General features: G+C 35.6%; 1 protein-coding gene across 15 annotated transcripts in view; it reads right to left on the bottom strand.

Moving 5' to 3' along the window:
• Window positions 1–14,573, bottom strand: part of NCOA1 (nuclear receptor coactivator 1) — a 279,449-nt gene that overhangs the window by 67,515 nt on the left and 197,361 nt on the right. For all 15 annotated transcript variants that reach the window (XM_047446155.1, NM_001362950.1, NM_003743.5 and 12 more), the window contains 3 exons: window positions 11,528–11,707; window positions 9,841–9,936; window positions 5,390–5,530 (listed from right to left, as the gene is read on the bottom strand). In XM_047446155.1, coding sequence (XP_047302111.1) covers window positions 5,390–5,530; window positions 9,841–9,936; window positions 11,528–11,707 — 417 coding nt within the window. The remainder of the gene's footprint in view (window positions 1–5,389; window positions 5,531–9,840; window positions 9,937–11,527; window positions 11,708–14,573) is intronic.

Here is a 14,573-nt window from a genome sequence, read left to right as displayed (position 1 = left end):
AATGCAAATTAACATTCACCCATCTCAGTCAACTCATTACTAAAACTGAGCCAACAACATTGTAAGATAATATCTAGCACGGAGCCTAGCATGGAGTACATATCAGGTATTGAATGAGTATTTCCTCAATAAACATCAGAGGGAAAAAAACCCAACAAATACGCAGCTTCCAAAGTATTTATGTTCTGAGTCACACACATAGTCAATCCCTAGACACTATTTATGGCAACAGCTTCAACTCTGAATAACAATCACTAATACTTTGAATTAAGAGATGAGTAAGGTAGCCACAGCTCCTTACAGAGTTGGTTCAATAAACATTTGCCGTACACATCAAATTTTCCCTTTAAGTGGGTTTCAAGGTTTAGTTTTGGAATCCCATTTTGTTTATAGGTCCTGGCCTAGTTTTCTGACCTAATTTTGTCATCTTTATACCTAGTATTCTGATCTCTGATTCCTGTGTCCATTTCTAAACTCCTTAGAACACTTAGTGAGGAAAGATAATATTGAAGGACTATTATTGACACCTCAGAATCCTTCCAAAGAACCTTTAACATGACAGCCGCTTTTATTTATTTATTTTTTATTTATTTTTATCCCTAGAATAGGCCTCAACAGAGCTACAAAGCAAAAGAAACATTAAATTTTCCCTGGTTACAGCAGCTGTAGAAGCAAAGTTTTTGGGTTTTTGATCCCTCCCAATTTGGTGCTGAGATAACCTCAAACAAGCATGCCTGACTGATATTAACAAAATAGGCAGGTGAAAAAATGTGTGGCAGGGTACTATGGGTCAATGCCGGTAGAGGTTTATTTTTCTTTGTGGTAGTCACCTAAATATATGCAGAAAAAGATAAAGAATTAAAAAATTGTTATTAGGTACAGAAAAAATAATTACCCCTAGATGTTCTAAAATTCTCAATCACCAATGAGTAAACTCTATTATATCAAAATCACTAAGAGGACAGTAAACTCACATTTTAAATATTTTTAACAAAGTTTGACATAAAAAGATTTTCAGTTGTTACATGGACCGTGGACTTAATCACATTACACAAGTCTCAAAGAACATTCTAATTAATCATTGATATCGGTACTTTATGTTTTATAGCAATGCTTCCAAACTTAATACCATAAACCCTTTCCAGCTTTGACTCATGATATATTTTTTTTCTTTTTTTGAGACAGGGTCTCCCTCTGTCACCCAAGCTGGAGTGCAGTGGCATGATCTCGCCTCACTGCAACCTCCGCCTCCTGGGTTCAAGGGATTCTCCTGCCTCAGACTCCCGAGTAGCTGGGATTACAGGCTCATGCCACCACGCCTGGCTAATTTTTGTATTTTTAATAGGACAGGGTTTCGCCATGTTGGCGAGGCTGATCTCAAATTCCTGTGCTCAAGCGATCCTCACACCTCAGCCTCTCAAAATACTGGGATTACTGGCGTGAGCCACCATGGCTAGCCTTAACTATATTTTTTAAAAGATGAAAATGGCTTTATTTTAATATAAAGTTAATAGAGAGATGAACAAAGAACAAGTCAAGTCATTTGTAATTCCATCATGCAGAGATAAACAGTTAAAATTTTGTTAATTTTCTAGAATTGGATAAATAGAAAGATATGTAAAAGTGAGATCATATTATATATGCTGTGCTCTCTTGGTCTACTCTTTTTTTTTTTTTTTTTGAGACAGTGTCTCACTCTGTCACCCAGGTTTGAGTGCAGTAGCATGATCAAGGCTAACTGAAGTCTTCACTTCCTGGGCTCAAGCAATTCTCTCATCTCAGCCTCCCGACTAGCTGGGACCATACCTGTGTGCCACGCCTAGCTAATTTTTGTATTTTTATTTTTTGTAGAGATGAGGTTTCGCCATGTTGCCCAAGCTGGTCTTGAACTTCTGGACTCAAGCAATCCTCCTGTCTCAGCCTCCCAAGGGCTGGGATTACAGGCATGAGCTACTGTGCCCAGCCACCTACTTTTTAATATAACAATATGTCATGGATATTTCAAAGACAAGAAAAGATGATCCATTACATCATTATATATATATATAAACAGAACTTTCATACAACTAGTTTCTAGGTTGTATAGCCTGACATTTCCCATGACTACTATCTAACTGCTGATAGATGTGCTCCAGGAAAAAGTATTCTGTGAAAAAAAAGTCTCAATAACAAAATTTAAAAGGTATTTTTATTGTAGAACTTCTCAGAAACTTAAATACCTTAAATATATCTTATAAATCACCTAAAGTGGGATTACCCATAAAACATCATTTCCTAGTTATAGTTATTAAGTTTGTGGAACCTAGGTTCATAGTTTACAAACTTCTCTGTAAGTAAACATCTTAGACTATAGACTCTGATTCAGTAGTCCGGGGTGGGGTCCAGAAATCTAGTTTAACAACTGCCCCAGATAAATCTATCTTATCAGGGACCTTGGGAAGCACCATGACCTAGATATTTCTTTAAAGTAATAGTTTTGAATTGAACAGAACCTGGGAACTTTTTCCAAACTATACACACTTGCATGGATCTTCTCCTAGTTTAAAAAGTTCCTCAAGTGATCCTGATACCCATTTCCCTCCAATCTCAATGTAAAACCGTGGCTTTAATCTAATTCATGCAAGGTGAAATGTGTTTTCAAACTTGATTCTGGAAAATATAATAGTAAACTCCTTTTGACAGCAGTTCATGAGCTGACTGTCAAAAGCAGCTAAAAAACTAAACTAAAACTAGAAATTTTAACGCATGTTAGGATTTTAGACTAGTTGCTGCCATCAAAGAGTAAGTTAATGGACAGGAAAAAAGAAAACAGATGGAGGACAAACTTTTCCTGCCTAAATATCATTCACTGTAAAGTTCTACACAAAATCAGGAAGATAGTACATAATCTGTTTCACTCTTTTTATACTGTCCCTAAGTGAAAAGGCAGCAAGAAAACTGCAAATGCAAATAACACCTCTCTCCAATCTTGATGGACCAATGATTGTCAAACTTAAGCATTATTACTATTATTATTATTATTATTATTATTATTATTATTATTAGCGATGAAGTTTCGCTCTTGTTGCCCAGGCTGGAGTGCAATGGTGCGACCTTGGCTCACCGCAACCTCCACCTCCCGGGTTCAAGTGATTCTCCTGCCTCAGCCTTCCGAGTAGCTGGGATTACAGGACTGCGCCACCATGCGCGCTAATTTTGTATTTTTAGTGGAGATGGGGTTTCTCCAAGTTGATTAGGCTGGTCTTGAACTCCCGACCTCAGGTGATCCACCTGCCTCGGCCTCCCAAAGTGTTGGGATTACAGGCATGAGCCACTGCACCCGGCCAACTTAAGCATTAGCTTTAAGGTTTGTTAAGATATCTGGGCAGGCCTTCATTTGATATTTTAATTCAGCAGGTCACTATCTTTAACAGGTGATTCTCATGAAAGTGTTTCATTGACCACATTTCTCATATCTGGCTAGATACTGCTGAATAGAAAATATCAAAAAAGGCTGTGCTCAATCCACAAAACCTGTTTGTCAGGTTGTTTAGAATCTCCAAAACACTCGATTCAGTCACGTGAACTTTGGACAACTTGATTCTAAGAAAAATACAGTTATTTCTATTGAGGATTTTTTTTCCCTAAAAAAAGTAGAATGAGGGAACATTAAAAATGACTAATGGGGAAGAGGTATTGGATTATACTTACATTTCTTGACATTTTACTCTAAATTATTTCAGTTTATATATTAATGACAAACTAGTTACTTATAATACTTTAATCAATTCATTGTATGGGGAATTCCGTTGAAGGTTTAGAAACCTTCAACTGTAGCCTAGTCACATCTATGGGGAGCCTAGCCATTTGGATAATAAGACAAGCCAGATCTGCTTTGCCTTAGTGAAAATGTACGTAAATTATAGGCAAATAAATTAAGTCTTTTAAGTAAAGCCTTGGAAGGCCCAACTTAAGGCAAAAATCAAAAGTACCATAAACTCGAGAACTTCAGGCAATGAGTCGAAACAGTGCTCTGAGTCCCAAACCTATGCAAAAGTCAAGCATCACCCTTGCCAGAGGAAATCACAAAGTTCACATCCAGTGGACGGCATTAGTTACTTATTGTAATGGTTTCCAAACCTGGCTGCCCTTCAGGATTGCCTGGGAAACTTTTAAAAAATACAGATTCTTAGCTCTACCCAGTGAAATACAATCTTAGGAGGTGGTATAAGTCTAGTAAGGAGCCCATTAGAGAACCACTAGTCTGTACGAAGCTGTTCCAGAAATACCTGGATTGTGATATTTATATAGATGTTTCCTGGAAGAAGAAAAAAAATCAAACTACTTCCTCCATGTATCACTAGGAAGCAGTTGACCTAAAATGTAATGAATGGAAAATCATCCGTAAACTTAGGAAATCTAATGTTATGGGAAAAATGTTAAAATTAAGAATGACAAAATAATGAAACATATTTTTAAATTGTTTTTCAGGAAAAGCCATACAATGAGATTCTTACAAAAGAAACTATCTAGAGATTAGAGAATAAATTTCATTGGAAAAAGAATGTTAGGCTACCATAATTAAATGACAATATTTTTAAAGTATATCAAAGCCATTTAATTCTGAACTTCTGTAAACTTTCTGGCCTTAATTCTCAAATAACTTTTCCTATCGTTCCTGTAGTACTGTTAAGTTTCTTAAGGGCAGGGAATATACATATCTTATACTTCCATGATACTTACTAAGACCCAGAAGCTATGCAATAATTAATAATTTCATAGGATATATTTTTTGACTTGAAATTTCAACCTGAGTCAGGAGATACAGGTTCTGCAACAGTCATGAAGTAAACAGGCATGATACTGATCTCTGTATTATCTAGAAGGCCTTTGACATGCTTGTTCTGCTGAGAATGATCTTCAAGAGCCAAACAAAATATTACTTCTTTTCTGAAGTCATCCTTGATTCTTCAAGTCAGAATTAATTTTTTTCTTCTTTGGTTATGGTTCTATCATACCCCACATCAAACTGATCTTTAGGGTTGTCGTATATTTTCCTACTGTATTATAAGCTCTTTAAGGGCAAAACCTTCTTTTTTAGTCATCACTGTATCCCTGGCACCTTATATAGTGTTCTACGTATGTTGGGAACTTGATACATGCCTGCTGAATGAATGAATGAATGAATGAGTGACCACCACACAACATCCTATTCTTCAGAACGTGTATCCCAAATTTCAGGATCCACTCATGAATTACTTTGCTTACCCATTTCTTCCTTTCCTAAAACTGATTATTGCAAAAACTATAATTTGGAGAAAATACTTATCAAGCCATAAGTTCTATACGAACTATTCAAATATCAGTAAAGATAAGGGTTAATGAAAATAATTGAGAGAGAAAATTTTACCTTCTTGGAACAGCTGTCTGGCATAAGATGGTTCTCTGCCCTGAGGTTGGAAAAAAGCATAAATGCACTTCCTCACTAAATCTTCCCAACCAGTTCTGCCAGCAGCTCTCAGGGAACTAGTATCAATAGAGATGATTTTACCTGTACAAAGAATGAAAGTTTATATTTATAACAGCCTCTTTATATAAATCATCTGTATTTCAAAACTAACAACTGCATCTAAGAAATATTCTTTCCAAATACTCAATAAACAAAAGCATCAAAAAGCACTATTAATTTTTATTATAGTTATGAAGTATGTTATTGACATAAGAAATTGTTTTGGTCTTAGAATGTGTTATGTCCTAGTATGTCATATTCTAAAATTCAATTCTGGTCTAGGATTAAAGTCATACCATAATGACCTGACACTACTGAGACTAATGCAGTTCAAACTCTTCTGGCTTGGTCTTTGGATTCTGCTCTCTGTATACTGATGACCGATTGGAAAGGAGAGGCAAAGATGAAGTATATTTTTTGGTTTAAATTAATTTCTAACTACTAAGTGAAGAGAATATGAGAAAAGAAGCAAGCCTTTTCCTTTCTAACCTTTGTTGGGCTGTAGGCAATACTGTATTTAAGACTAAACAAAGACTGAAGACAACAAAAGTTAAATCAGAAAAACAGTAAGTGAGAACATTAAGATTTGCTAGGCAGTATGCACACGGAACATACGCTTTATAAAATTTAGTGGTGATTCGCCATTGTTATCATATTTAAACAAATTTCCAAATGGCTATGAGAGAATTCAGGTAAGTTATTCCTCAGTTAACAGAGGGCCAATTAATCCAGTTTGTGAATATTAAGACCTGTTTTATTACGTTTTACAGAATCTTACAGTCACACAAAATAATACAAGATATATATAGAATATATATATATAAATTAAGAATTAATGAGATAAAAACCTGCCAACCCACCACTCAACTTCAGAACTTGACGTTACCAATATTGCTCCATCACATGTGCACTCCTCCCTTGTCACCACCCCCATCTTTAAATTCTCCTGTGAATGGGCATCTAGACTGTTATCGGTTTTTTGCCATTACAATCAGCACTGCTATGAACATCTTTCACGTGTTGCATGGTACATGCATGTGAGAACTTCTCTAGTGTATATATGTAGGAACAGAATTGTTAGATTGTAGGTTATGTGAATGTTCAACTTTATAATATTAATTTTAAACTGTCTTCCTGAAACTTGTACCACTCTATGCTTCCACCAGCAATGTGTAAGAGTTAGTGCTAATCTAACATCCTTTCATCACTTGTGTTGTCAGGCTTCTTTATGTTTTCAAATTAGTAGGTGAAAAATGCTATCTCATTGTGGTCTAAATTTTTATTTCCCAATTATTAGAGTTCACCACTAATGTTTCCTCTTCTATGAATGCCTGATTAAATATTTTCCCCATCTTCCCCTTCTTCATACAATCAACTCAAATCTATCATCCAGTTTGTGCCTCCTCATTGAACTAATCCCCTCTTTATATATCTCATTTTGTTTAGAAATAAAATATTCATTAGACCTTTTTAACTTCGGGTCTTGAATCTGATGTACCCAGTCCTACTTGATCAGGTTATCACCTAAGTCTTGGCATAAATGTAAATAGTAGAAAGAAAATAAACTGAAACTCAAGGAAATTTTGTCATTTAAGAACAGTTTGGGGAAAGCCTGGTGAACACTGTAACTGAAACTATAAAAGATTTTAGATTTTTAAGAATTTTAATTGTTCAACCCTTGTTTCTTATGTCAGAGATAAAAAGTTGGTTATAGCAGGGATTCCACTGCTACATAATCTTCCTATACAATAATGCTCCTCACAGGCAGTGACTAAGGGAGGCATATGCATGTGTGTGTTCATGTCAGGGTTGGCCCCACCAGAGAGCATGAGAGTTTAGAGTTTGGGGACTGGCAGGAGAGAAAGTGATTAAGTTATCAGCAATGGTACCAGATGGGTAATATAATGACTATCTTAGTGAAGAATCATGAACAGCTTGATTTAGAATACTCTGCCTACTACAGGAAAGTTTAACCAACCAACTAAACAACAATAAAAAGCCCCACTGTTCAACATTTCCTAGTAAAATACTTTTTTCTTTTTTTAAGAGATATGGATCATCCCATGAAGAGTTAAAAAGTACTACAAAAACTTAAGAAATTAAATGTTTAACATTTATTATACTTATTCTTTTTAGCTAAGTCAATTCTATGATTTATATAATGTTAGTTTTACATTTTAAGCATATTTTATATTTCCTTGGTATCTTTGTACAATAACTGTGTACAGTATAGTGATGCCCTTTTAATAGTGCTTTAGTGAAAAGTAATGTAATACAAGAAAGGGCTCCACATTAGGGCCTAAAGGTGTCCATTCTCGGCAAAGGGCTGTATGGTTTTGATCAAATCACCATCCCCTCATTTGTAAATCTAGGTTGGATTCTGTGATATTGGAGGTTCCCTCTCTCTCTATATATATATAGTTATTTTATGGCCCAGAGGCTAATTTTTTATTTTACATGATTATGGTTATTTTTATATATTTATACATATTACCAGGTATATCTAAAATTTTAACAGCTGGGTTCTTAGAAACAAAACTACCAGGGATAACACTGTTCTTATGGGAAAATACAGTCCTCAAAGCAATCCAATTTAGAATTCAATTTATACAAATGCAATATGAGGAAAAGCTGAAACATATTGTTCCTAAATTAGCCTCATAACTTTTAGGCCTCCCCCATCTCTGACATTTTTTCTGTGACCTGACAATAACCTTTTTCAACATGTTTTCATTCTGCTATCTCACAAAGCCCTTATTTGGTTTCTTTTTATGTTAACTGGTTACTGACAGAAAAGACCAATTTTCTTTTTCAATGGACTCTATTTTTCCTTCATGCAAAATACTTTCAATTTTCAATAATTAAAAAAAAATTTTAAAAAAATTTAAATAAATTTTTGTTTTTGGACAAACCTACATATCCATAGTACGTTTATTAAATTTTTCCAGTGTTGTTCATGGTAGAGACTGGAAAGGAACATAATACATGGTAGACTCAAAAACAGAATGAAGAAGGCTATGATAATTGATAATTACTATCCTTAGATGCCATCTCTCCATGCTCAGAGACATTCTCTTTACCATTTTCTATTATCTGTGCTAATTTATCCATACTAGTTCTTTAGTAAGAGCAGTTGGAAGTTTATCTCTAAAAACACAAGCACAAAGTATACAACATTAGAATATTAGATTATTGGCACTAAAAAATTAATACATAATGAAATAGGATCTTATAAAAAGGTGGTAAAAGTCAAAATGTACACTAAAACTAAACTTTCACAAAGCATAAAATTCAGAAGAAATTATTTTTAAAATCTTAGTCTGCTAGAAAATATACCTTTAATATTTATCTCTATTTTAAAATTAGAGAGGTAAGTGATATATATGTAACTCTGGTTGTCGTAAAAGCATGAACATACAACATGTTAGTGTAAAGATAAAATCAAATAATATAAGAAAAATACTTCATCAACTATAAAGAACAGTAACAACTTGTTCTTGCTGAAAATAAAATCTGAAGTAGGCCTTTAAGAAGAATGCCTTATTTATAGGCAGTCTGTTACTCAGTTTGAGGCTCTCCTGCCCTCCTTCTAGTACTTCTAACTTACCTCTCTGTCTTGCTTATCTTTAGACTTCTGCAGCTCTGGTTCCTCAATTAGGAGTACTCGTTCTGCATCAAGACCCTTTCTTGCTGCCCCCCTTCCAAGACCCATACTTTAAGTAGTGGGCACCACTTCATCCTTTGGGGCTCAGTATCAGCTCCTCAGACAGGCCTTTGCTGACCAACTAATTTCATATATCCTCCCTTATACCATCTCATAACTTCCATCATCAAAAATAACACAATTTGTCACTGAATCATTTTTGTTCAACCATATACATCTTGAGGAATCACCTAATGACAGGCACTTCTAGGGACTCAATCGGTATGTGCTAAATAAATTTAAAGAAAAAGAATTAAAAAAAAAAATAGCCAGATACGTTTAAGCATAATAGTAAAACTACCATATTCATATCTATTTAAATAAATGTATGTATATCTACATATTTACATATCTATATCTTCTCAATTTCTTTAAACATTTTATTCCATGATTTGAAAAATAATTTGTAATCAAACAAATATAGGTATATAAAGTTATAAAAAGTGTTCCCCAGCACCCTGACCATGATAATGATCATAGTATCTAAATTGTATAATCTCAAGAGCACCATTTAAAATGTTTTCTGTATAAGACTAGGGAGCAAAGCCTAAATCTCATAGAACAGAAAGACATTCTGGATATAATTAGTTTTAAGGGCAGAGTCACATTATTAATACCTATGGAACATTCTGAACTTTACAATTAGTACCTGTAGTATCTTGCTTGGTCATAAAGGATTCTACACCCGTAATAGCTGGAGGCCGAGGTAATCGCCGTGCAATACAAATCAGACATGACTGGAAATCTGCCCAAAACAAGACGGGGAAATTGAAGGATAGAGAGTAGAAAATGGTTTATATCTATCACTCGCCATTAATGGTTTTCATAAAAACAATACATGTTGGCCAGACGTGGTGGCTCACGCCTGTAATCCCAGCACTTTGGGAGGCCGAGGTGGGTGGATCACAAGATCGAGACCATGCTGGCTAACACGGTGAAACCCTGTATCTACTAAAAAACACAAAAAAATTAGCCGGGCATGGTGGCGGGCGCCTGCAGTCCCCGCTACTCGGGAGGCTGAGGCAGGAGAATGGCGTGAACCCGGGAGGTGGAGCTTGCAGTGAGCCGAGATCACGCCACTGCAGTCCAGCCTGGGCCACAGAGCGAGACTCCGTCTCAAAAAAACAAAAACAAAAACGTGTTACAGCACCTGACATAATATTGCATAATACTGAAATCATTCTTATCTAATAGTGTATTAGAAATAAAATTGCTGGCAACCAAAAACTGACAGCTCCAGGTAGAGAGTTAGTTGGCATAAACCATTCCTTCCTATTGAATGCTCTTATATATACCAGAGGAGAGAGATGCATCTCATGTACTGGATGATAACAACTACAAGTAGTAGTTTTGGTTAGATATAAGTGGCACAGTGTTTTTTAAAATACAGTTTTGTAGTCAATTTCTTATATTCACCAGTACTTAATGGCTAAAAAGATTATTCTTATAACCACAGTGTAGATAATTATATGAGAAAAACAACCTTTAACTCTGAAGCACTATTTTGCTCTTGACAGATGACTTCATGTTTTTAGGATATACAATTTTTTCAAAGTCCCATTCCCAAGTTTTGTTTTGAGGATGTTAAACACAATATCACACAGCTAAAAATGAACTTTAATCAAGTAAGATTTGGCATGTGTATTTTGTAAAAAGTCTCCAGTTGATTGTTACCTCCGTTTCCTGGTGAGACCTGCTACATACATGGCTTTCTTGCATCTGACTGACTTCTTGTCTACTACCTTCCCTTGTCCTTACTCCAGTTCCCAATTTGTGATTTTCTAAACTTAGCCCAGTCTAAGTTTACATGGAAAACTCATCCACTGTCACATATTTAACTAATTCCATGTTGACACCATGTTCATATTAGAGCTTCAGCATGTTTCCATCTGTTCTTAAGTTTTCTCCTTATAAATTACCTTGTATAGCCTGAAAAATGCCAACTCTATTCTCCAATGTTCCCTACACTCTAAACTTGAAACTTTCTAAAAATCAGAGCTGTTCAACAGTCTGCTGCATCTGGTACATTTCCAACTGGCAGCAGTTAGTTACATCTCTTATTTCTAGACAGCAAGTTGGTTTGAATTATTTGACATTTTAGTGGGAATGCCAGCTTAAAACTGAGAATCTGGGGGGCATATTAAAGGAATGATTCTAGATGTTAGTAATTATTGTTTTTTAAGTATTAAGAATATATAGCAAATGGAATAGCCACTATGATACATATTATAGTAACCAAAAATACTATCTGAAAAAGGCAGTTTATAATTAATTTCCTCTCTTTTCCTTAAAGTCACAGAAGAAATAAACACTTTAAAAAGACCGTTTGGCTTTACCTTCTCCATCCTCTTGAATTGATTTTGGCTGTGACACAGTGAAACACTGCATTACTTCATAACGCTGGCAAGCTTCTTGGTTCTCGGTCCCTGGCTCATCTGGAGGGTGAATTAGCATCCTGCAGTTAAAGGTATGGCTATTTCGTCGTGTTGCCTCTTGAGGCCAAGGAACTCCATTTACTGAGGAAGAAAAATTGATTATGTGCTTGCGAATATGGTGAAAAAGCACAAACTCTGAAGATACAAAAGATGTACTTTAAGCCATCTGCTTAATTAGATACTCAGATTAAAAGACAGACTGACCTCTTCAGATCTAACATTATCCTGAGGCAATAGAATACTTATCTCCCTAGCAAATCTAAATGTCTACCAATTAGAAAACTGTAACATTTCCAAGAAAATACGTATGATCTTCCCCTCAAATACTATAATCAAAGGCAAAAATTAAAAATTAAAACTTACTAGCCATTTTGCTCAGAATTTTACAGCAGTTAATGAGTTTTTCAGTTGGTTTCCAGTTATACTTTGACAATGAAAAAATGATTCAAAACCACAGGTACATTGGTAAGTGGGGTTTTAACTTGGCAATCACGGATTCTTAAGGTTGGCTTTTGTGTGGATGTGCACCTTTCTGGGGAAGAAGATTTCAATTTTCTCAGAGTCTGTCACTCAAAAAAAGTATTAAGAATATAGCGCAATCTCAATTTCTCATAACCATTTTTTCCTTTTGCTTTATTTTACTTAACTAGCACAGTTCATATGCTACAATACCTTGGATATAGTGGATAATCAATATTATTATGTAAAAAAAGACTGCTAAAAAATAAATGTTACCTGATCCAGTATAGGAAAAATGAATTCAGTTGTTGAAAAGGTATCTATTTCAAGTAAAAACCACGTGTGGTAGCTCATAATTTCCCAGTCACAGTGTCATGTTTAAATCACGTGGTCATGAGATGATCAGAGGGTTTTTAACACTGCCTTTTTTTTTTTTTTTTTTTTTTTTTTTGAGATGGAATCTCACTTTGTCACCCATGCTGGAGTGCAATGGTGTGATCTCGGCTCACCACAACCTGCGCCTCCTGGATTAAAGTGATTCTCCTGCCTCAGTCTCCTGAGTAGCTGGGATTATAGGTGTGTGCCACCACGCTGGGCTAATTTTTTATTTTTAGTACAGACAGGGTTTCACCATGTTGGCCAGGCTGGTCTCGTACTCCTGACCTCATGATCCACCCATCTCGGCCTCCCAAAATGCTGAGATTACAGGTGTGAGCCACCACGCCTGGCCAAGGCTGCTTTTTTACTGTTCCCAAACGTTTTCCTACCTTAAACTCTCCAATGACCCTCCTTCCTTTTTTCCATCTCATCCTTTATTAAGTGTTAGAGGAAATCATGGAAACAAACCTATACTGGAGTAAGAAGTCCTGGGTTCTGCTATTAGCAAGTTCTAAGGTTTGGGTTAATCTTTGATGCTCATTGTCTCATTTTTTAAAATAAAAGAATCTACTACCTTATCTCTAAAGTCATTTATACTTTAAAATTTCAAAATAAAATACATAAGATACCTTGATACTTGATTCAAATATCAGTAGTGATTTTAATAGAAAGAATCATTTCAAGTCCCCAGTTACAACAAACATATATGACTATTTTCAAAAGGAAATGAAGTTTCTATTCTGTTGGGGGAACAATGTGGAAAATGAAGAGCTATGAATAACATTTTTATATGCATGTCTGGTTTAGTTATATAGGATTTCTGTCCAAGGTCCTCCCCTCCACTTTTGGAGCATATATAGGCTAAAGAGTGGAAGGAAAGGGAGGAAAAAAAGAAAAATGAATGTAAAAATTAGCATATCCATTCATTTTTAGAGCTCTCTTCTCATGTACTGAATAAATGGATTAAGTTGTCTAATTATTAGGAAAACTCTCCAACTAAAGTAAATAGACCCTATGATAAAAAAATGGATTTGTGCCACGCGTGGCGGCTCACGCCTGTAATCCCAGCACTTTGGGAGGCTGAGGCGGGCAGATCATGAGGTCAGAGATCGAGACCATCCTGGCTAACACAGTGAAACCCTGTCTCTACTAAAATTACAGAAAATTAGCCAGGTGTGGTGGCGGGCACCTACCAAGTAGTTGTCCCAGCTACTTGGGAGCCTGGGAGGCGGAGCTTGCAGTGAGCCAAGATTGCACCACTGCACTCCAGCCTGGGTGACAGAGTGAGACTCCATCTCAAAAAAAAAAAGGATTCGTTAACACTACTCAAAGAAATCAGAGATGACACAAACACATAGAAAAACATCCCATGCTCATGAATAGGAGGAATAAATATCATTAAAATGGCCATACTGCCCAAAGCAATTTACAGATTCAATGCTATTCCTATCAAACTACCAATGACATTTTTCACAGAACTGGAAGAAATTATTTCAAAATTCATATGGAACCAAAAAAGAGCCCAAATAGCCAAGGCGATCCTAAGCAAAAAGAACAAAGCTGGGGGCATCATGTTATCTAACTTCAAACTATATTACAGGGGTACAGTAACAAAAACAGTATGGTACCAAAATAGAATACCGAGCCTAGAAATAGGGCGGCACACCTACAGCCATCTGATCTTTGACAAAGCTGACAAAAACAAGCAATGGGGAAAGGACTCCCTAGTCAATAAATGGTGCTGTGATAACTGGATAGCCATATGCAGAAGATTAAAACTGGACCTCTTTCTTACACCATATACAAAAATCAACTCAAGATGGATTAAAGACTTAAATGTAAAACCCAAAACTATAAAAAACTTTGGAAGACAACTTAGGCAATACCACTCTGGACATAGGAATGGGCAAAGATTTCATGATGAAGATGCCAAAAGTGATCAAAACAAAAGCAAAAATTGACAAATGGGACCTAAATATAAGATCATCTGCACAGCAAAAGAAACTGTCAAGAGAGTAAACAGGCAACCTACAGAATCGGAGAAAATATTTGCAAACCATGCATCTGACAAAAGTCTAATATCCAGTATTCATAAGGAACTTAAACAAAT

Source organism: Homo sapiens, chromosome 2 (assembly GCF_000001405.40).
Source record: "Homo sapiens chromosome 2, GRCh38.p14 Primary Assembly".
NCBI lineage: Eukaryota > Metazoa > Chordata > Mammalia > Primates > Hominidae > Homo > Homo sapiens.
The sequence above is the reverse complement of the archived record's forward strand: the minus strand, read 5'-3'. Positions and strand labels throughout refer to the sequence as shown.